The sequence below is a fragment of the Homo sapiens genome, chromosome 1 (genome assembly GCF_000001405.40).
Source record: "Homo sapiens chromosome 1, GRCh38.p14 Primary Assembly".
In the NCBI taxonomy this organism is placed as follows: domain Eukaryota; kingdom Metazoa; phylum Chordata; class Mammalia; order Primates; family Hominidae; genus Homo; species Homo sapiens.
The window spans coordinates 179,127,033-179,149,252 of NC_000001.11; the positions used below are offsets into that span (position 1 = coordinate 179,127,033).

The following is a 22,220-nucleotide window of genomic DNA, read 5'->3' on the forward strand; positions in this document are numbered from 1 at the left end:
ACTTTCCCTCAAAAGTTTATCAAGGAATGTATCTTATATATGATTCAATGTTAACAACAATCAAGGATTAGGGATAAGACATGTGAGATACAAAGTGACTTCTAAATTTCACTTGGCACCAAGGCAACAAAACCACTGATGTAAAAAAACAAAAACAAAAACAAAAAATGAACAAACAAAAAAAAACACGGACCACAGAGTTTTCAGCAAGAAAACTGTTTAGTGGGGTGAGGGGAATGGGCAGTTAGGACTCCCAAAACACAATCCCTTCCAGAATGCAAGTTTAAAAATAGCTATAGCTTTCTTATTTCCTTCCTAGTTCCCACAAAGAATGAATCACTCCTTTCCATTCCACATTAAAATCAGTGTGTGGAATGGCAAGCTCACTCTGAAGTTGGAAACCAAAACCCAAGTCACTCAGTGTATCTTTGCTGTCAACTTCAATGTTCTTAATTTTTCTATTAAAATTGTGAACATCAAGTTCAGACTTCAACATATAACTTGCCCCGATACTTGCAGCACAAATTAGGTTTCTTTGACAAAACAGAAAAAGTGAAAGAGATATCACTAGTGATAAATAAATGCTAATCTAAAGAATCCTTGTAGTGCCTCAGGCTCTTATCTCTAAGAGATGCAAGTCTTCCTACAGCATTCACATCTACTTCTTCAGTGTCAAAAAGTAGAAGGAAGCCAAGTCAATCAAAAGCACATGGCCATGGCTGAGCGTGGTGTCTCATGCCTGTAATCCCAGCACTTTGGGAGGCTGAGAGGGGCGGATCACCTAAGGTCAGGAGTTCAAAACCAGCCTGGCCAACATGGTGAAACCTCATCTCTACCAAAAATACAAAAAATTAGCCGGGTGTGATAGTCTGCATGCCTGTAATCCCAGCTACTCGGGAGGCTGAGGCAGGAGAATTGCTTGAACCCGGGAGGCTGAGGTTGCAGTGAGCCGAGATTGCACCACTGTACTCCAGCCTGGGAGACAGAGTGAGACTGCTAAAAAAAAAAAAAAAAGCACATGGCCAGAAGTATCAGGCAAAAGTTTTTAGGAGAACTAAAAATAATTATCCTTGTAACCATCTGTCCTTTTTTAGTGGCCTTCAGAAACGTTTCCATAGAATAACTTTGTATCAGACACCATCTCACCTTAGACACATGGATATGAGATAATGAGAAAAAACACAAGAGTATATGTACATATATACACCTATGGGTACATAAAATATACATATATACAGATAAGAGTAAGTCTGGTGTAGCGGTGGATATGCATAAGTGCACAAATACTTGCCAATCATATTTACAGGAAGAAAAAAAAAAGAATCCTGCTAGAAAAACTGAAGAAAACCTGTTGCTCTGTAGCTTTTCTCTGTTAGTCCACATGAGCTAAAAATAAAGAATATTAGTACTTTGTATATATATCTATATATACATTTTTTAATATTGTTGCTTCCTTGAAAAGAATTGGTAATAACAGGCTATCATAATTAAGATACAGTCAAAGACCCCAGGATTTTTTGTTTGTTGTTCTTTTTTTGTCAGTTATCAGGAAAATTTTTCTACCCTGGAAGTTTTGACTACCATGGAAACTGATAGGGGGATGACTAGTATGGATTCAAATATTGGCCAAACTGGCAGAGCAACCCTAGGGAGAACTTTTTTGTTTGTTTTGAAACAGGTCTCCCTCTGTCGCCACGCGGCAGTGCAGCGGTGCAAACACAGCTCACTGTAACCTCAACTTCTCAGGCTCAAGTGATCCTCAGACCTCAGCCCCCCAAGTACCTGGGTCTACAGGTGCATGCCACTGCCCCTGGCTAATTTTTAAATTTTTTGTAGAGACAGGGGTCTCACTACATTGCCTAGGCTGGTTTTGAACTCCTAGGCTCACGCAATCCTCCTGCCTCAACCTCCCAAAGTGCTGAGAATACAGGGATGAGCCACTGCGCTTGGCTGGTAGAACTTTAAAAAAAAAAAATTCAAGCAAAATATCATTTTCAATCAAAAACTAAAGTGTTGCTTTATTTTTTAAATATATTTTCTTGTCTTTTAAAATAATAAAATAGCTTTAGTATGACATCATTTTAAATTAGTGAGAACCTGATATAAAAATTTGGCATTCTGTGGATTTTAAGAGAAACCACTGTTGGTCATAAGATAAAGGCCAGTCATAACCCATAAGTGAGGAATCAACAGTCTTTCTTTATCAATGTTTCCTTGATGACTGGGCTATCTTGAAAAAACAACAGGAAAACATACCTATGAAAGAATTTCTGAGTCATCACTTCACAAATTTCTCCAGTGAAGAATCAATAAAGGTAAAATCAAGTATATTGTAGTCCAAAGAGACTACTACACAATATAAACTTTCTGGCTGGGCGTGGTGGCTCACGCCTGTAACCCCAGCACTTTGGGAGGCTGAAGCAGGTGGATCACAGGTCAGGAGTTCGAGGCCATCCTGACCAACATGGGTGAAACCCTGTCTCTACTAAAAATACAAAAATTAACACGGCGTGGTGGTGCGTGCCTGTAATCCCAGCTACTCAGGAGGCTGAGGCAGCAGAATCGCTTGAACCCAGGAGGCACAGCTTGCAGTGAGCCGAGACTGTGCCACTGCACTCCAGCCTGGGTGACAGAGCGAGACTCTGTCTCAAAAAAAAAAAAAAAAAAATTCTTTGATGTCTTTTGTTCTATCCTCAAATTTTACGTAAAATGTTCCTACAACTGCATAAACACAACCCCCACATACATAACATGTATCATCCTGTCCCCAAAACTATCCAAAAGCAGGAAGTAAAACTGACACTAGGAGATGATGCACTTTTACTTTCACTTTTAATTCTGTCCTATGTACAATTGGCCAGCACATGCAACTACCATGAAGGTTAGACTCACTATACACCTATTCTTTTGTTTTTGTTTTTTTAAGAGACGGCATCTCACTCTGTCGCCCAGGCTGGGGTGCAGTGGCACCATCTCAGCTCAATGCAACCTCCCCGTCCCAAGTTCAAGCAATTATCCTGCCTCAGCCTCCTGAGTAGCTAGGACTACAGGCACATGCCGCTACACACGGCTAATGTCTTTTGTATTTTAGTAGAGATGGGGTTTCACCGTGTTGCCCAGGCTGGTCTCAAACTCCTGAGCTCAGACAATCCACCAGCCTCGGCTTCCCAAAGTGCTAGATTACAGGCGTGAGCCACTGTGCCTGGTCACACCTATTCTAATTGAACTGTGGCTAAGATGAGCCATGTTGCCAGACCTCACTGCTACTCAGAATGTCTGCGAACTTGACTGCCTATCTGAGGACTGTTCATTCATTACTAGTCCACAGTGAGATTAAGAACTTCAACTAAATGTAAACCAACTATATCACTAAGCACACTATTTATTACTTAGTTCAGCTAATAGTTTTACCTTTTGGAGCAAGGCTTTCTGCATGAAGATAGTAGTTCAGTGTTTCACATTCTGGCATAAGCATCTTACCTTGTTGTGGACCATTTTTGAGTAGCACTGGCCTAGACAACATAAATGTCTATTGTTTGTGTTTATATAGATTAGTGAAAGGAATGGTAGGAAAGGTTTATTTGATTTCCATTATAGTAATATTCTCAAGAGAGTGGTAGTTTATTTCCGTGGGAAATTCTTATAAAAGGGAACATTAAGAACATGACCAAATAAAATCAATCATTATTGATTTTGTGTGTGTGTGTGTGTGTGTGTGTGTGTGTGTGTGTGTACGCACACACGCATGCAAAGGCAAAAAAAAGTAACTTTTATGAGAAAGAAATAGGATTATGGGGAGATTATCCTTGTGTACATGAACTGGATTGCTAGTCTGCCTAAGCTTATTCTTACCTTTTGAACATATGAAAGCCACTGCCGGGGAAAAAAATGTATTTCAGGATAATTTTTTTTTTTTTTTCTTTTTTGAGATGGAGTCTCACTCTGTCACCCAGGCTGGAGTGCAGTGGTGTGATCTCAGCTCACTGCAACCTCTGCCTCCCGAGTTCAAGTGATTCTCATGCCTCAGCCTCCTGAGTAGCTGGGACTACAGGCATGGGCTACCACGCCTGACTAATTTTTTTCATATTTTTATTAGAGACAGGGTTTCACCATGTTGGCCAGGTTGGTCTCAAACTCCTGACCTCAGGTGACCTGCCCGCCTTGGCCTCCCAAAGTGCTGAGATTATAGGTGTGAGCCACTGTGCCTGGCCAGGCCCCTTTATCTCTTAATCATTAATGAAAACTGAAAAGTGAAAGGATGCTACATAGAAGCCTCACCTTTAGTGATGCTGAGTGTGTTATCACCACTTGCTACAAAATCATAAAGTGCAACGAAGAGATTAGGGTCACTCTCAGTGGCTCCGAGCAAGTTCTCCTTGGAGCTCCACCTGATAGCCTCATTTAGTGCCTGGGGTTCAACATCACAACCATAGGGACGATGCAAAGCTTCTGAAAGACATAAGAAGGGAAGGGAATTCACGGTGAGTTCAACAGCGAAACATTTGTTTGAATTCATTATATACACAGTATTTCAGCTGCTGGCTCCAGAGTAGGAAAGAACTGTACAGTATAAAGTGTTATGAAGAATTAGCAAATAGGCACTGTGTCTCCTAAGCATGAGGAAGCAATTTACTTGTTGAAAATGTAAAACAAGGTAGTCAGAGAAAAGACCACAAAATGAGAGTTTAGCCGTGATTTATATGCACTCACCAAAATCAGACATAAACTAATAGGAAACGCAGTTTTCTCAAAATGGAAAAAAGAATCTCAAAGAGAAATGGTTACTAGCTTTATAAAACATAGAGGATATTTTGTTGTAGTAGTGGTTGTAGTTTTAAGGAAGAAATGATTGTAAGTTTCTTACAAGTCCACTCAAACTACCCTTATTCCTTTCTCTCTCCACAGAAAACAAACTGTAGAAAAGACAACAGGGATTATTTTTCAGAATTAGGTAATACTGTATAAATCCAGGCCCTCTATTTAAGTATAGAAAAAATTATTTAAAAAGTGCTTTTAGAAAAATATCTTTTTTTGGCCAACATGGCAAAAAATAATCTTTTTTTCGTTTTAAAAAAACAAAAGAAATGTGGCCGCACCCGGCCTGAATGACTTTTAAACTCTATTTTGTTTTCCTGAGCAGTGATTTTTTGTAAATATCAATAACTTAATTGAAGAGCCTAGAAAACATTACTATCATCGGGCATTTATTGAGTTTCTACTCAAAGTGGTCCAAGCCTTTTACGACCTGTTTTTTCCTTAAGCCTTTACAGTTTCTAAATTTATTCATAGTACATAGCACAGGTGATCCCTATACCATCTTAAAGATCACCTGCTTCTCACAGCCCAGATCGATTATACAAAAAACAGTTTTTCCAGTATCAATTTTCTTGATCAGACTATTTTTAGTGCCTGTCTACAAAGGCAAACTATCCAAATGTCTATGTCATATAACAACACTTTTATGTCTCTCTTCCTCCACTTATGATTATTATGATTATTATTATTATTATCATTATTATTTTGAGATGGAGTTTCGCTCTTGTTGCCCAGGCTGGAGTGCAATGGCGTGATCTCGGCTTACTGAAACCTCTGCCTCCCGAGTTCAAGCGTGATTCTCCTGCCTCAGCCTCCCAAGTAGCTGGGATTACAGGCGCCTGCCACCATACCCAGCTAATTTTTCTGTATTTTTAGTAGAGACAGGATTTTACCATGTTGGCCAGGTTGGTCTTGAACTCCTGACCTCAGGTGATCCACCCGCCTCAGCCTCCCAAAGTGCTGGGATTACAGGCGTGAGCCACCACACCCGGCTGACTTATTCCCCGTCCGCACCCCTCTCCCACCACCGAGATGGAGTCTTGTTTTGTTGCCCAGGCTGGAGTGCAGTGGCACAATCTCTGCTCACTGCAACCTTCACGTCCTAGGTTCAAGCAATTCTACTGCCTCAGCCTCCCGAGTAGGTGGGATTACAGGTGCACGCCACCAAGCCCAGCTAAATTTTGTATTTTCAGTAGAGACGAAGTTTCACCATGTTGGCCAGGCTGGTCTTGAACTCCTGACCTTGTGATCTGCCCGCCTTGGCCTCCCAAAGTGCTGGGATTACAAACGTGAGCCACCACACCCAGCCAGGCCAACTTATTTTTAATATAAAAATAGTTTTATCATATATGAAAGGAAAAACCCTTGAATTTGTGGTTCCATTTATTTTCAAATCCATTCCCTGTTCTCCATCTCTACTGCCAATGCCTTAGTTCAAATCTGCAACATCTCAACATCTCTCACCTGGACTACTGCCTCCAGTCTTGTCTCCCTCAAATCCATCCTCCACACAGCTGGCAAAGTGATCTATTTAAGAAAAAAATTGACCACGTCACTTTTCTTAAGCTTCTTCAATAGTTTAACATCAAGCTAAAGTCTCCTTTTCATGGCATTCAAAGGCCTTTCATGATCAGGTCTCTACCTACTTCTCCAGCTTCGCCTCTCCCTACTCCATACCTCAAATTGTAAACTTTAATATACACCATGCTGCTTCCCATCTTCTGGCCTTGGTTCACACAGTCCAGACTAACTGGAATGGGTTCTCACCCCACTTTTCTTTTGACTGGCTGATTTCTACTTGTAATACTCAGCTCCAATATATAGTAGTCCCCCTTATCCATGAGGAATATGTTCCAAGACCCCCAGTGGATGCTTAAAATCAATCAGGATAGTACCAAATCCACTATATACTACGTTTTTCCTACACATACATAACCATGATACAATTTAATTTATAAATTAGGCTCAGAAAGAGATTAACAATAATACAATGAACAATTATAACAATATATTGTAATAAAATTTATGTGAATGTGGTATCTCTCTTTTTCCCTCAAAATATCTTAATACTTTCTGACTGGGGTGGAGTGCCAGTAACTGAAACTGTATAAAGCAAAACTGGATAATGGGGGCTACTGCACCTCCCATCTGTACTCTCAAAAGCATCACAGTTGCTGCATTAATACTCTATCTTTATCTCTATATTAATAATACATTCTACGTATGTTTGTTCCCCAAACATCATAACATGTTCCTTGTATCTGGAATGGTATTCTTCTCCTACCAAAAGTTACATAGTATGTGTTTAATAACTGTTAGCTAAACAAATGCCCAAATTACACAAACATATAAGTGACAGGAAACAACATGTATCTTAATTTTAAAATCACATTAAACAGTATTTAAAAATTGGCTTCAGCCAGGCACGGTGGCTCAGGCCTGTAATCCCAGCACTTTGGGAGACTGGGCAGGTGGATCACCTGAGGTCAGAAGTTTGAGACCAGCCTGATCAACATAGTGAAAAACCCCATCTCTATTAAAAATACAAAAATTGGGCGAGGAGATGGACTCGGCCATGGAGGCTGCGTGGAGGCTGCGTGGAGCCTGCTTGGGAACCGGGATGGCGTTTGCCTTCCACCATCAAGTTATTTATAAAATCAAAAGTTTCCTCCGAGGCCTTGGAGATGCCCTTTCTCTGCATCTGCGAACACCTACTTTCCTATACTTACAGTAGGAAACACAGGAACGTTATTTAGAAATGCCAGTGGCTCTTTTCTCTCTGTATTTTATTACCTAAATAATGCCCTATGATGTCTTCTCTAACTAGGTCATAAACCAGCATAGGTGAAAATTGCAGCCTCAGCCTCTCCCTCTCCCTCTCCCTCTCCACGGTCGCCCTCTCCCTCTTTCCACGGTCTCCCTCTGATGCCGAGCTGAAGCTGGACGGTACTGCTGCCATCTCGGCTCACTGCAACCTCCCTGCCTGATTCTCCTGCCTCAGCTTGCTGAGTGCCTGCGAGTGCAGGCGCGCACCGCCACGCCTGACTGGTTTTCGTATTTTTTTGGTGGAGACGGGGTTTCGCTGTGTTGGCCGCGCTGGTCTCCAGCTCCTAACCGCGAGTGATCCGCCAGCCTCGGCCTCCCGAGGTGCCGGGATTGCAGACGGAGTCTCGTTCACTCAGTGCTCAATGGTGCCCAGGCTGGAGTGCAGTGGCGTGATCTCGGCTCACTACAACCTCCACCTCCCAGCAGCCTGCCTTGGCCTCCCAAAGTGCCGAGATTGCAGCCTCTGCCCGGCCGCCACCCCGTCTGGGAAGTGAGGAGCATCTCCGCCTGGCCGCCCATCGTCTGGGATGTGAGGAGCCCCTCTGCCTGGCTGCCCAGTCTGGAAAGTGAGGAGCATCTCTGCCCGGGCCGCCATCCCATCTAGGAAGTGAGGAGCGCCTCTTCCCGGCCGCCATCACATCTGGGAAGTGAGGAGCGTCTCTGCCCGGCCGCCCATTGTCTGAGATGTGGGGAGCACCTCTGCCCTGCCACCCCGTCCGGGATGTGAGAAGCGTCTCTGCCCGGCCGCCCCGTCTGAGAAGTGAGGAGACCCTCCGCCTGGCAACCGCCCCGTCTGAGAAGTGAGGAGCCCCTCCGCCCGGCAGCCGCCCCGTCTGAGAAGTGAGGAGCCCCTCCGCCCAGCAGCCACCCCGTCTGGGAAGTGAGGAGCGTCTCCTCCTGGCAGCCACCTCGTCCGGGAGGGAGGTGGGGGGGTCAGCCCCCCACCCGGCCAGCCGCCCCATCCGGGAGGGAGGTGAGGGGGTCAGCCCCCCGCCTGGCCAGCCGCCCCATCCGGGAGGTGAGGGGTGCCTCTGCCCGGCCGCCCCTACTGGGAAGTGAGGAGCCCCTCTGCCCGGCCAGCTGCCCCGTCCGGGAGGGAGGTGGGGGGGTCAGCCCCCCGCCCGGCCAGCCGCCCCGTCCGGGAGGGAGGGAGGTGGGGGGGTCAGCCCCCAGCCTGGCCAGCCGCCCCGTCCAGGAGGTGAGGGGGCGCCTCTGCCCGGCCGCCCCTACTGGGAAGTGAGGAGCCCCTCTGCCCGGCCAGCCGCCCCGTCCAGGAGGGAGGTGGGGGGGGTCAGCCCCCCATCCGGCCAGCCGCCCCGTCCAGGAGGTGACGGGCACCTCTGCCCGGCCGCCCCTACTGGGAAGTGAGGAGCCCCTCTGCCCGGCCAGCCGCCCCGTCCAGGAGGGAGGTGGGGGGGGTCAGCCCCCCGTCCGGCCAGCCACCCCGTCCGGGAGGTGAGGGGCGCCTCTGCCCGGCTGCCCCTACTGGGAAGTGAGGAGCCCCTCTGCCCGGCCACCACCCCGTCTGGGAGGTGTACCCAACAGCTCATTGAGAATGGGCCATGATGACAATGGCGGTTTTGTGGAATAGAAAGGGGGGAAAGGTGGGGAAAAGATTGAGAAATCGGATGGTTGCCGTGTCTGTGTAGAAAGAGGTAGACATGGGAGACTTTTCATTTTGTTCTGTACTAAGAAAAATTCTTCTGCCTTGGGATCCTGTTGATCGGTGACCTTACCCCCAACCCTGTGCTCCCTGAAACATGTGCTGCATCCACTCAGGGTTGAATGGATTAAGGGCGGTGCAAGATGTGCTTTGTTAAACAGATGCTTGAAGGCAGCATGCTCCTTAAGAGTCATCACCACTCCCTAATCTCAAGTACCCAGGGACACAAACACTGCGGAAGGCCGCAGGGTCCTCTGCCTAGGAAAACCAGAGACCTTTGTTCACTTGTTTATCTGCTGACCTTCCCTCCACTATTGTCCTGTGACCCTGCCAAATCCCCCTCTGCGAGAAACACCCAAGAATGATCAATAAAAAATAAATAAATAAATAAATAAATAAATAAATAAAAATAAAAATAAAAATACAAAAATTAGCCAGGCATGGTGGCACATGCCTATAATCCCAGCTACTTCGGAGGCTGAGGCACGAGAATTGCTTGAGTCTGGGAGGTGGAGGTTGCAGTGAGCCAAGATCGCCGCTGTGCTCCAGCCTGGGTGACAACAGAGTGAGACCCTGTCTCAAAAAAAAAAAAAAAAGGCTTCATAACTTCTACATGATATACACACAGAAATTCCTGTTGTAGGTTGGCTCTGTAATTCTCCAGTTTCAGAGTTTCATATTCCCTTCTCTCAAAAAGAATATATATTTAAAATTCCAGTTAATTCAATTTTGTTTTACATTATGATAAACTTAAAAAAAGTTCTGATATCATGGAAAGTTAAAGTAGTTATGTTGTTCCTTATTTAAATGCAGAATTATGGTGAATGGGAACAGCTGTATTCTATACCAAGATAGCCAATTTGGGATGACCAAATCAACAAAAATCCATATTGTAAAAAACATTCTTCAAACCGGTTTCATATATCGTATTTGTCTTTATTCTAATGCAAAAATTATCTACTCTAGCAGAATTTCCACTGGCTACAAAATGCCAATCCTTTATTAAAATGAAAAAAATGCCAAAAAAAGTACAGAAAATATCCATATTTATTAGCACCCATTACTGAACACTACATAATCCACACTTATAAATATATATATATATTTTTGCCAGTGACACTGGTAACACATTACAATGTTTATAAATACTCTGTTTAATGATTATCAGTTTATTTAATTATTCGTAGTACAGGAAAAGTTCCCCTTGTTTGAAATTATAAGAGAAAAACTCAACAGTAAAAAGAACTTTGGTACTATCAACAACCAAGTTAGAAATAGTAATAAGCAGAAGCCAACTCTTAACCCCTATCAGGACAAAACCAGCAAATGTCATATAGTTATACCTTACTTTGTGAAACTCAGTATATTAAATTTTAAAGTTTACAAAACAGTAATTTGATCACCCTGAGGGTGAGGACAGTGATGCAATATTGAGCAGCTTCCTGGGCTCACACAATCAGGAGCTGGCCAAGAACTGGATTTCCACAGTGGACATAAGGGGCGCCACGGGCACTGTGGAGCTGCTGTGGGCCACTGACTGGAGGCCAATTCTGGACCGGGTGCCTTACATCCACAGCAAGTTTAAGAAGGATGATTGATTAAACTGATGCCTCCATGAACCCCTCTGCTGTCAGGTGGTGCCAGCTCCTCCCATGTCAGCGCCTGCTGCATCTGCAACAGCCCAAGCTCTCAGGATGGACGCTCAGGGAATCTACAGTGCAACTTAAGATTTCTTGTATTTCTGAAAACAGCTGGGGTGTTTTAAGCACACAGCATTAAACCTCACTATGAAACCTGCCCCCTGCCTGGATATTAATCATGCTGATAACTCAGTTACTTTGATTACAGCTCCAGAGAATGACCCAGGGATCTTTTCAAGCTCCAAAATGCTGCCAGTTTAGGAGAGTTTTCCAGTGGCTGTCAGATATTGTTTAATTATTATTATTGAGACAAGGTCTTGCCGTGTTGTCCAGGCTGGTCTCAAACTCCTGAGCTCAAGCGATCCACCTGCCTTGGCCTCCCAAAGTACTGCGATTACAAGCACGAGCCACCGCGCCCAGCCTGTTTAATTATTTTAAATGTTTATTGGGGAAAAAGAAATCCCTAGTAATTTGAGTGAATACCACATGCAAGGCACTGTGCTGGGCTTCAGAATATAAAGATGAGAAATCACTAATAACACCATTGGGACTCAATATGCAAAACTATCATCCATCCTTCCCTCCAAATTTGTTTCTCTCACTGAATTCCCCATTTCAGTTAATGGCAATTCCATCTTTTCAAATGTTGAGGCCAAAAACCATGGAATCCTTCATGGCTCTGAGAGGTGACAGTGTGCTGGCAGTCCTCACAGCCCTCGCTCGCTCTCGGTGCCTCCTCTGCCTGGGCTCCCACTTTGGTGGCACTTGAGGAGCCCTTCAGCGCACCGCTGCACTGTGGGAGCCCCTTTCTGGGCTGGCCAAGGCCGGAGCCCACTCCCTCAAGCTTGCAGGGAGGTGTGGAGGGAGAGGCGCCAGCAGGAACCGGGGCTGCCTGCCGCGCTTGCGGGCCAGCTGGAGTTCCGGGTGGGCGTGGGCTTGGCGGGCCCCGCACTCACACTCGGAGCAGCCAGCCAGCCCTGTCAGCCCCGGGCAATGAGGGACTTAGCACCTGGGCCAGCGGCTGTGGAGGATCTACTGGGTCCCCCAGCAGTGCCAGCCCACCGGTGCTGCGCTCAATTTCTCGCTGGGCCTTAGCTGCCTTCCCGCGGGGCAGGCCACCCACCCAGCAGTGGCAACCCACTCGGGTCCCCTTCCACACTGTGGAAGCTTTGTTCTTTCGCTCTTTGCAATAAATCTTGCTACTGCTCACTCTTTGGGTCCACACTGCTTTTATGAGCCGTAACACTCACCGCAAAGATCTGCAGCTTCACTCCTGAAGCCAGCAAGACCACGAGCCCACCGGGAGGAACGAACAACTCCAAACGCGCTACCTTAAGAGCTGTAACACTCACTGCAAAGGTCTGCAGCTTCACTCCTGAGCCAGCGAGACCACGAACTCACCAGAAGGAAGAAACTCCGAACACATCTGAACATCAGAAGGAACAAACTCCAGACACGCCACCTTAAGAGCTGTAGCACTCACCGCGAGGGTCTGCGGCTTCATTCTTGAAGTCAGTGAGACCAAGAACCCACCAATTCCGGACACAGCTCCCTTCTTGCTCTCACAAACAACATCCAATTCACTCAGAAATTCCATTGGCACTGCCTTCAAAAATATATCCAGAATCTAACCACTTCTCATTCAGTACCACTTCATGACCACCATCATCTAGGTAAGGGGACCCCAACCCCTGGGCCACAGACAGGTCTGTGGCCTGTTAGGAACTGGGCCACACAGCAGCAGGTGAGCAGCGGGCCAGCGAGCATTACCGCTTGAGCTCCACCTCCCGTCAGATTAGTGGAGGCATTTGATTCTCACAGGAGCTGAAACCTACTGTGAACTGCTCAAGCAAGGGATCTAGGTTGAATGCTCCTTATGATAATCTAATGCCTGATGATCTGAGGTGGAACAGTTTCATGTGAAACCACCGCTCCCCACCCAGTCTGTGAAAAAATTGACTTCCATGAAACTGGTCCCTGGTGCCAAAAAGGTTGGGACCACTGATGTAGACTATTTCACTAGACTCCTGATTTCCATGCTTCCGTGCTTGTTCCCTACTGTTTATTCTCAACATACCAGCCATCTTTCAGAGCATAAGTCAGATTGCTACTCCTCTGTTCAAGACTCTTCAAAGGTTCCCCATTTTAGAGTAAAAGCTAAAATCCTTAAAGGCCCTGCAAGGTCCTTCACAATTGGTCTTGCCCAGCATCTCCTGCTGCTATTCCTCTACCTTATTCTGGCCACTGACATCAATGCTATTGCTTGAACAAAGCAGGCACACTTCTGCCTCAGGACCTTTGCGCTGGCTTTTCCTTTTGCCTAAAACACTCTTCCCCATGACATTTCACCAAATGTTACCTTCTCAGTATGTCATTCTCTGATTATTCCATTTTAAAGTACATCTATTCTTGATAACACTCTCACATCCCCCACTGACTCCTTTCCTGATTTATTTTATCTCCATAGCTCTTATTACCACCAAACATAGTGTATAATTTACTTATTTATTATTATATTCATGTATCTAAGTCTCCTTGCTAAAATGTAAGTTTTATGAGGACCAGGATTGTTGTCTGTTTTGTTCACTGAACAGTGACTCCAGAACAGTGTCTACATATAAGAGGCTCTCAAAAAAGATTTGCTGAATGAATGAACTATGTATACATCCTTACTCACAGAGGATGCTATGAGAGGAAAGAATATAAAACAAAACTCTAGAGTCTGGCAAGGTTTCAGACTTAAAATTAGATAAACATTTAAACTGGATGAACGCAGGCCAGGCACAGTAGCTCATGCCTATAATCTCAGCACTTTGAGAAGCCAAGGCGGGAGGATCACTTGAGGCCAGGAGTTCAAGACCAGCCTGGGCAACATCATGAGACTTCATCAGGTGTGGTGGCTAGCGTCTGTAATCCCAGCACTTTGGGAGGCCGAGGTGGATCACCTGAGGTCAGGAGTTCGAGACCAGTCTGGCCAACATGGCAAAACCCTGACTGGGTGTGGTGGCGGGTGCCTGTAATCCCAACTACTCGGGAGGCTGAGGCAGGAGAATTGCTTGAACCCGGGAGGCAGAGGTTGCAGTGAACTGAGATCAGACTGCTGCACTCCAACTTGGGTGACAAAGCAAGACTCTGTCTCAAAAAAAAAAAAAAAAAAAAAATTAAGTATTGGCTGGGCATAGTGGCACACAACTGTAGTCCCAGCTACCCAGGAAGCTGAGGTAGGATTGTCTGAGCCTGGGAGGTTGAGCCTGCAGTGAGCCAAGATCACACCATTGTACTCCAATCTAGACAATAGAACAAAACCCTGTCTTTAAGAAAAAAAAAAATTAGATTAATAGGAATTCTGCACTGATGACAGTAGAGTGACAGACTGTCAATACGCAAGGACATGTTTATAATAAGGGGAAACTCTGAACCCAAAAGAGGACTCTTAAAGACAAGTCAACTTCCTGAAAGTTGTGTTATCTGACAAAAGGAGAAAACAGAATGAGATCTACAGCACGATTTTATGTAAATTTAGAAGATATATGCAGGCCAAACAATATTATATTTCTGAAATATGTAAAGTAATAACTATAGGATAAAAGTAATTTTTGAGGCCAAAGTACTAAAAGAACCACAACTTAGAAAACAATCCTTCTTATTCCCCATTCCCCTTCTTCCCGTCTCTGGTTTTACGGTCTTTTTGGTTGAGTCAAAAGATCTTATTTCCTTCCTTTCTTCTTTCTTCCCACTCCTCTTTTGTTCTCAAAGAACTTAGGGTCAATTTCCTGCACAATCTGTCTGCACAGGATATCCACTTAAACACCATTCTACCCATTAGCACCAAACAAAAGGAAAACTTTTTCAAAGAGAAAAACACCCTAACATTTTTCTGAAGCTAAGAACGAACATATTTTGAATCATAAAGAGTAAGGGAACTAAATGAGGGGGAACAAGATAAGGGATAAAGGCAAAAACAAAAGAAAACAAAAGCCTGTGGGAAGAGCAAGTAAATGTCAGTGTTACCCAGTAGCTATAGTCTATGTCACTTTCCTCATTGGTTAAGACAGACATGTCTGGATGATTCAGATGTACTGTATACGCCCAAATGCAAGTGTGTGGGCTGGGAATGGTTTATTTTTGAACAAAATGAAATGACTACTATAAATTAGGTAACTTAGATATCAAGTTAACTTATCTTCCATTATTCACTGCTATAGAGGTAGATCAGAGATTTAAGATGGGATAAGAGAAGACTGATTTTCACTCACATGTAAAGAACCTAGATAACAGAAATATATTATCACAATTTAAAAAAGGCATTTTTTTTCTATTGCTACAGTTGCAGGCTACAACAAAAATAAAGCAAAACAGAATAGCCACTTGTACAAAGTAAATTATCATGATTGAAAAAGTTAAAACCCAAAATAATAAAACTGAAATTGAGAAAATTCCTAAGCTTCATGTTTAATTTTATTAAAAATACTTTTCACCAGTTAGTCATTCAGTAACTTTTATCAGTTTAATTAGAAATTTGTCAGGTAGTAATAGGAGAAATTAATATTACAAATTTTTAGTTTAGGCATTTTCAAGTATTTTATAAACATTATCTTGCCAGAATTCTACTTTATCTGACTGTATATTCTCTAAGAAGCTAATAAGTTTTAATAACTTCTTTTAAAAATTATGTAAGGTAAATTATTCAACAGTTTTCAATATAGCTTAAGTTCTTCACATCAAGCCATCTATATCTTATTATTACAAAATACTACATATTATCCATACATTCTTCCATTCAGTATTTATTGAGATCCTACTATGAGATATTCCCCCAAGAAAGCACACAAACTTTCACTGACCAAGAATGAAGACAAAAACAGTAGCAGATAAGATGAATTTTTTGAAATCTTCATTCACACTTGATTAATGTGGTTATCAAGCCTCCCTGAAACTATCAACTCTGAACCATACCTGTTAAGTCGGGTAGAGCAGATTCTGAGGCCTCAGTGCACAGGCAGCAAAGTGAAGTGTCCTGATCTCTGCCATAACTATTAGGTGGAAGGAGAACTGTCCCAAGGACCATACCTCTGCCCAGAAGCACAAAAGTTAAACTGTTCTGTGTAAAGAGGAAGTCTTAGAATTCCATTCTCTGACAAGCAATACCACATGCATGTGACATTTACTCATGTACTCAGTGGCCAGAGGGAACCAATAAAATGGTGAGCATTCACAATTCCCAAAGTGGGTGGAGAGTGACCTAAAGGAAAATTTCCAGCAATCCGCAAAAGACTGAGTCAGAATGGAGTTACTTCAAAATCTCTGAGAACACTTTTAAAATGTAAGTAAAATAAAAACCAACATATATATGTATAACAAATAGCCTAATAATAAAACAATGTAGAAGTTAATATATCTCTATTTTATAGGGAGATGATGAGGTGAGACTAGAGAGAAAAGTTTCCTTGGAGAAAATCTGTTTACAATAAAACACGAAATACACTTTTAAAAGAAAGGAAACGCCTAACAAGACTCATCTTTTACATCACTTAAATAGTTCAAGAAACCACAAAGCCAAAGTCAAAGAAATAGCTGTGATCTGATTCATGAGCACAGAAGCCAAGAAATAACTGCCTTTGCTAACAATCTGGCTCTATAGCTTAATAAAGGTTAAAAACATGGCAATATAGTGTTGAAAACTTTTGAGTGTTAAAAGTTTATTTACTTATTTATTTTTATTTACTTATTTATTTTTTGAGACGGAGTCTCGCTCTGTCGCCCAGGCTGGAAGGCAGTGGCGCGATCTCGGCTCACTGCAACCTCTACCTCACGGGTTCAAGTGATTATCCTGCCTCAGCCTCCCAGGTGACTGCGATTACAGGCGCCCGCCACCACGCCCAGCTAATTTTTTGTATTTTTAGAAGAGACGGGGTTTCACTATGTTGGCCAGGCTGGTCTCAAACTCCTGACCTCGTGATCCACCTGCCTCAGCCTCCCAAAGTGCTAGGATTACAGGCATGAGCCACCATGCCCAGCCTGAGTGTTAAAAGTTTTTAAAGCAAAAAGCCCAATCTTTGTTAATAAACAGGAACAAAGTTAAAGAAAATTTAAAAACCTGAAAATGATAGTACTTTATGAGAATTAAACTAGTAAAACCTACAAATAATACATGACTTTAATGTATGATCTACAAAAATAATATTAAAGAGCGTTTGTAGGCCAGGGGCGGTGGCTCACGCCTGTAATCCCAGCACTTTGGGAGGCAGAGGTGGGTGTATCACAAGGTCAGGAGATCGAGACCATCCTCCTGGCTAACACAGTGAAACCCCACCTCTACAAAAAATACAAAAAATTAGCCCGGCATGGTGGCGGGCGCCTGTAGTCCCAGCTACTCGGGAGGCTGAGGCAGGAGAAAGGCATGAACCCAGGAGGTGCAGCTTGCAGTGAGCCAAGATCGCGCCACTGCACTCCAGCCTGGGCGACAGAGCGAGACTCCATCTCAAAAAAAACAAAAAAAAGAGTGTTTGTTTAACTGTGTATCTGAGAACACTCATTCACTCAATAAATATTTATTAAGCACCTACTATGTACCAGCCCCTGTTCTAGGTCAATATAAGTAACAGGGTAAGATAATAGGATGACAGGACTGAAACAGCCTTAGAGAAAATTGAAAAATAAAATGGTAACTTAACCTTATTAGAGAAAGAATAACTTTAATGTAGGTAATTATTAACTATTTAAAATAACAAAGCTTATGTTTTCAATAAAATTATCCTTTATAAAGCCAGTACTTTCAACATCAAGGGACAAATAAAAGAGTTAGATGACTAAAGGTTACCACAATTATGACTAAGAATTTCAAATACCAGATTGAATATCTCATTCTCCGGATTATAGAAAAAAAGGTATGGGAAAGGATCTTCATCATCCACATTCTATCCATATGTAGACTCTATACCATATGGTTTACTATTTAATCAATAAATCTTCTATTTAAATTACCAATAATTAGTAGTTACATTTTCAATTACTTATAGCATAATTTGGAATAAAGAGGAGATAAATGGATAAACAAAAGGTGGTCTATACATATAATGAAGTATTATTTAGCCATAAAAAGAATGAAATGTTGATATATGCTACAATGTAGATGGGCCTTGAAAATATGATGCTAAGTGAAATAAGCCAGACACATCAAGGCAAATATTATATAATTCTACTTACATGAAATATTTAGAATTTTTCTAGTTCTGGAAGTCTAGTTCTGCAAATGGATGGCTATACAACATTATGAATATATTTAATCCTACTAAACTGTACATCTACGAATAGTTAAAATAGTAAATTCTGATACTTTGTCATAATTAAAAATTAAAATTACTAAGGTCTCCAAAGGCCTTTTGTTTATGTTATAGCTATCAGTATTTACTATATTTGAAATTAAACCTGAAATTTTAATGAGAAATTTGAATACCTATTAATTCTAAAATAACAATAAACCCATTATGTTAATAACATATTTTTACCAAAAAGAAAACTATTTTCAAAAAAGAATTAAGAAGATAAGAGTAGCATTTTCAGTTTTTGCAAATCTCTTTAATAGGCTGAGGTGGAAAAGTGCATTACTTTAATGAACGTGACAAACTAAGGCCAGAAGCAAAAGAAGAATCTAAGCAAAGATGAGGAGGAGCGGGGGCATTCTGAGTAGACAATGTAGCAAGTTCAATGCAAAAACTCTGAGGTAGGAAAAGAACCTGGTATGTACAGGAAATAAGAAGTGTGGCTACTGTTACGGAAGTCAAAAGATGAGCATGAAACAAAGTAAGGTAGACAGGGGCTGGCCAAATCAAGTGCTTAGGGATTTAGGATTCTATTCCAAGTGCAATGGAAATCCAGTGAACAGTTTTAAGCAGGATGGCCATATGGTCTGATCTCCATTTTTTTTTTTTTTTTGAGACAGGGTCTTGCTCTGTCTCCCAGGCTGGGGTGCAGTGGCGTGATCTTGGCTCACTACAACCTCCACCTCCCAGGTTCAAGCGATTCTCCTGCCTCAGCCTCCTGGGTAGCTGGGATTACAAGGTGTGCACCACCATGCCTGGCTAATTTTTGTATTTTTAGTAGAGATGGGGTTTTGCCATGTTGGCCAGGCTGCTGATTTCCATTTTTTAAAAGACCATTATTACATGAAAAAAAATGAATTACATTGAGAACCAAATTAGAAGCAGAAAACTATGCAGTAGTTCAGCAATGGGATCATGTTGGCTTAGAATAGGATGGTGGCAGTGGAGACAAAGAAAAGTGGAAGAACTTAACGATATGGTTTGAAGAGGGAATCAACAGGGCTTGCAGATTACTTGGATACAACATAAGAGAGAAGGAGAAAATAAAGAACGGCTGCCAGGTTTTAGGCTTAACTGTAACTGGGTAGATGGCCATGTAATTCACTGAGAAGCAGCAGTAGCACAGGTTGAGTATACCTTATCCAAAACACTTGAGACCTGAAGTGTTTCAGGTTTAAAATTTTTTCAGATTTTAGAATATGTGCATATATATAATGAGATATCTTGAGGTTGAGTCCCAAGTGATATGGTTTGGCTGTGTCCCTACCCAAAATCTCATCTTGAATTGTAATCCCCATAAATCCCTACGTGTCAAGGGCAGGATCAGGCGGAGATAATCGGATCATGGAGGCATTTTCCCCCATGCTGTTCTCGTGATGGTGAGTCTCACAAGATCTGATGATTTTATAAGCGTCTGGCATTTCCTCTCCTTGTACTCACTCCATCCTGCCACCCTGTGAGGAAGGTGCCTGTTTCTCCTTTGCCTTCTGCCATGAGGAAAAAGGAAAGGAAAAAGATATATCACCCCAAAATATGTCTCTGACATAAAAATTATTTTTGAGCCTAAAGCAATGAATAGGGGAAAAGCTCTCCATATCCTCTTGCTTTTCTACCTAAAGACAGGATACAAATTCTCCTTTACTGGTGACAACTATAGACTCTTATCAGCCCAGAGATGGCCTGAGCCTGGGAGGTTGAGGCTGTAGTGAGCCAAGATCACAGCACTGCACTCCAGCCCACATGACAGAGCCAGACCCTGTCTTTAAAAAAAAAAAATTTAAAAAGTAGGCTAAGAACATGAACAGACATTTTCCAAAGATGACACATAGGTGGCTAACAAACATATGAATAAATGGTCCAATCACTAATCATCAGAGAAATGCAAAAAAAAAAAAAAAAAAAAAAAAAAACCAACTGATGTTGGCAAGGATGCAGAGAAAAGGGAACACTTATTCACTGTTGGTGGAAATGTAAGTTAGCACAACCTCTACGAAAAACAGTATAGAAATTTCTCAAAGAACTACAAGTAGAACTATACTTCAATCCAGCAATCCCACTACTGGGTATCTACCCAAAGGAAAAGAAATCATTCTATCAAAAAGACACTTGCACTCCATATATTTATTGTAGCACTATTCACAATAGCAAAATCATGGAATCAACCTAAGTGTCCATCAATGGATGACTGGAGTTTTTAAAATGTGGTATAGATATACCATGGAATACTACTTAGCCATAAAGAAGAATAAAATCATGTATTTTGCAGCAACATGGTTGGAACTGGAGGTCGTTATCCTAAGTGAAATGACTTAAAAACAGAAAGCCAAAAACCCTATGTTCTCATTGTAAGCGGGAGCTAAACAATGGTACACATGGACATACCGAATGGAATAATATATTCTGGAGACTCCAAAAGGTGGAATACTACCTATTGGGTCCCATGTCATGTATGCTATTCAGGTGATGGTTACACTGGAAGCCCAGACTTCACCACTAGGCAATATATCCATGGAAGAACTGCACTTGTACCCTCCAAATCTATAAACTTTTTTTAAAAAAGCAATAGAGAGACCTCAGCTTTTGCAAGATTAACTCTCTTTAGGTTAGTCAATAATAGTATAAGTACATGTTGTTTTATTATTCTTTGCTTTACTGTGCTTTGCAGACGCTGTGTTTTTCACAAATTGAAGGTTTGTGGCAACCCTACATTGAGCAAGTCTATCAGCACCACTTTTCTTTTCTTTTTTTTTTTTTTTTTGAGACAAAGTCTCACTCTATTGCCCAGGCTGGAGTGCAGTGGCATGATCTCAGCTCACTGCAACCTCCACCTCTCAGGTTCAAGCAATCCTCCAGCCTTAGCCTCCTGAGTAGCTGGGACCACACGTGTGTGCCATCACCCCCGGCTAATTTTTGTATTTTTTTGTAGAGAAGTGGTTTCACCATGTTGCCCAGGCTGCTCTCAAACTCCTGAGCTCAAAGCGATCTGCCCACTTCAGCCTCCCAAAATGTTGGTATTACGGGTGTGAACCACCGCACCTGGCTAGCACCATTTTTCCATCAAGTGCTCACTTCATGTTTCTGTGTCACCTTGTGGTAATTCTCACAATATTTCAAACTTTTTAATTGTTATCATATCTATTATGGTGATCTGTGATCAGTGATCTTTGATGTCACTACTGTCATTGTTTTGGGGCGCCACAAACTGCGCCATAGGAGACAGCAAAATTAATCATGACCACTCCACTGATCAGCTGTTTCCCTGTCTCACTCCCTCTCCTCAAGCCTATTCCTTGAGACACAACAATACTGAAATTAGGCCAAAACTGGGCACAGTGGCTCACGCCTGTAATCTCAGCACTTTGTGAGGCCGAGGTGGACAGATCACATGGTCAGGAGTTCGAGACCAGCCTCGCCAACATGGTGAAACCCCGTTTCTACTAAAAATACAAAAATTAGCTGGGTGTGGTGGTGCATACCTGTAATCCCAGCTACTCAGGAGGCTGAGGCAGTAGAATTGCTTGAACCTGGGAGGCAGAGGTTGCAGTACGCCGAGATCATGCCACTGCACTCCAGCCTAGGCAACAGAGCAAGACTCCGTCTTGAAAAAAAAAAAAAGGAAAAAAAAAAAAAGAAATTAGACCAATTTATAATGGCCTCTAAGTGTTCAAGTGAAAGGAAGAGTTGCATGTCTCTAACTTTAAACCAAAAAGTAGAAATAAGTTCAGTGGGCAAGAATGTCAAAAGTTGAGATAGGCTAAAAAACTACGTCTCTCGTACAAGTTAGCCAAGTTGTGAATGCAAAGTAAAAGTTCCTGAAGAAAATTAAAAGTGCTACTCTAGTAAACACAAACATGATAGGAAAGTGAAACAACAGCCTTACTGCTGATATGGAGAAAATTTGAGTGGTCTGCAAACCAGCCATAACATTCCCTTAAACCAAAGCCTAATCCAGAG

At 42.6% G+C, this 22,220-nt stretch overlaps 1 protein-coding gene across 13 annotated transcripts in view, besides 3 other annotated features; it reads right to left on the reverse strand.

The window, feature by feature from the left end:
* ABL2 (ABL proto-oncogene 2, non-receptor tyrosine kinase) overlaps positions 1-22,220 on the reverse strand; it is a 130,348-nt gene that overhangs the window by 27,703 nt on the left and 80,425 nt on the right. For 5 of the 13 annotated variants that reach the window (XR_921765.2, NM_001168238.2, NM_001168236.2 and 2 more), the window contains exon 2: positions 4,279-4,449. Coding sequence is in view for 10 of the 13 variants with exons in the window: in NM_001168238.2 (NP_001161710.1) it covers positions 4,279-4,449 (171 nt within the window). In the remaining 3 variants the exon portion in view is untranslated. Of the gene's footprint in view, positions 1-4,278; positions 4,450-6,279; positions 6,343-15,900; positions 16,045-22,220 lie in introns of those variants that run through there. The other 8 variants (XR_007058798.1, XR_921764.4, NM_001168237.2 and 5 more) reach the window with 3 other exon arrangements.
* Positions 2,887-2,936: an enhancer, noted in NCBI's record as "active region_2149". NCBI's record gives its function as "activates an Ori minimal core promoter by ATAC-STARR-seq in GM12878 lymphoblastoid cells {active_cell/tissue: GM12878}" and the evidence as "EXISTENCE:reporter gene assay evidence [ECO:0000049][PMID:35858748]".
* Positions 11,786-12,292: an enhancer, noted in NCBI's record as "H3K27ac-H3K4me1 hESC enhancer chr1:179107953-179108459 (GRCh37/hg19 assembly coordinates)". NCBI's record gives its function as "activates a minimal SCP1, AML or CMV promoter by ChIP-STARR-seq in naive H9 embryonic stem cells {active_cell/tissue: H9 hESC(naive)}" and the evidence as "EXISTENCE:reporter gene assay evidence [ECO:0000049][PMID:30033119]".
* Positions 15,611-16,810: an enhancer, noted in NCBI's record as "MED14-independent group 3 enhancer chr1:179111778-179112977 (GRCh37/hg19 assembly coordinates)". NCBI's record gives its function as "activates an origin of replication core promoter dependent on BRD2, BRD4, P300/CBP and CDK7 cofactors, and independent of MED14, by STARR-seq in HCT116 cells {active_cell/tissue: HCT116}" and the evidence as "EXISTENCE:reporter gene assay evidence [ECO:0000049][PMID:35650434]".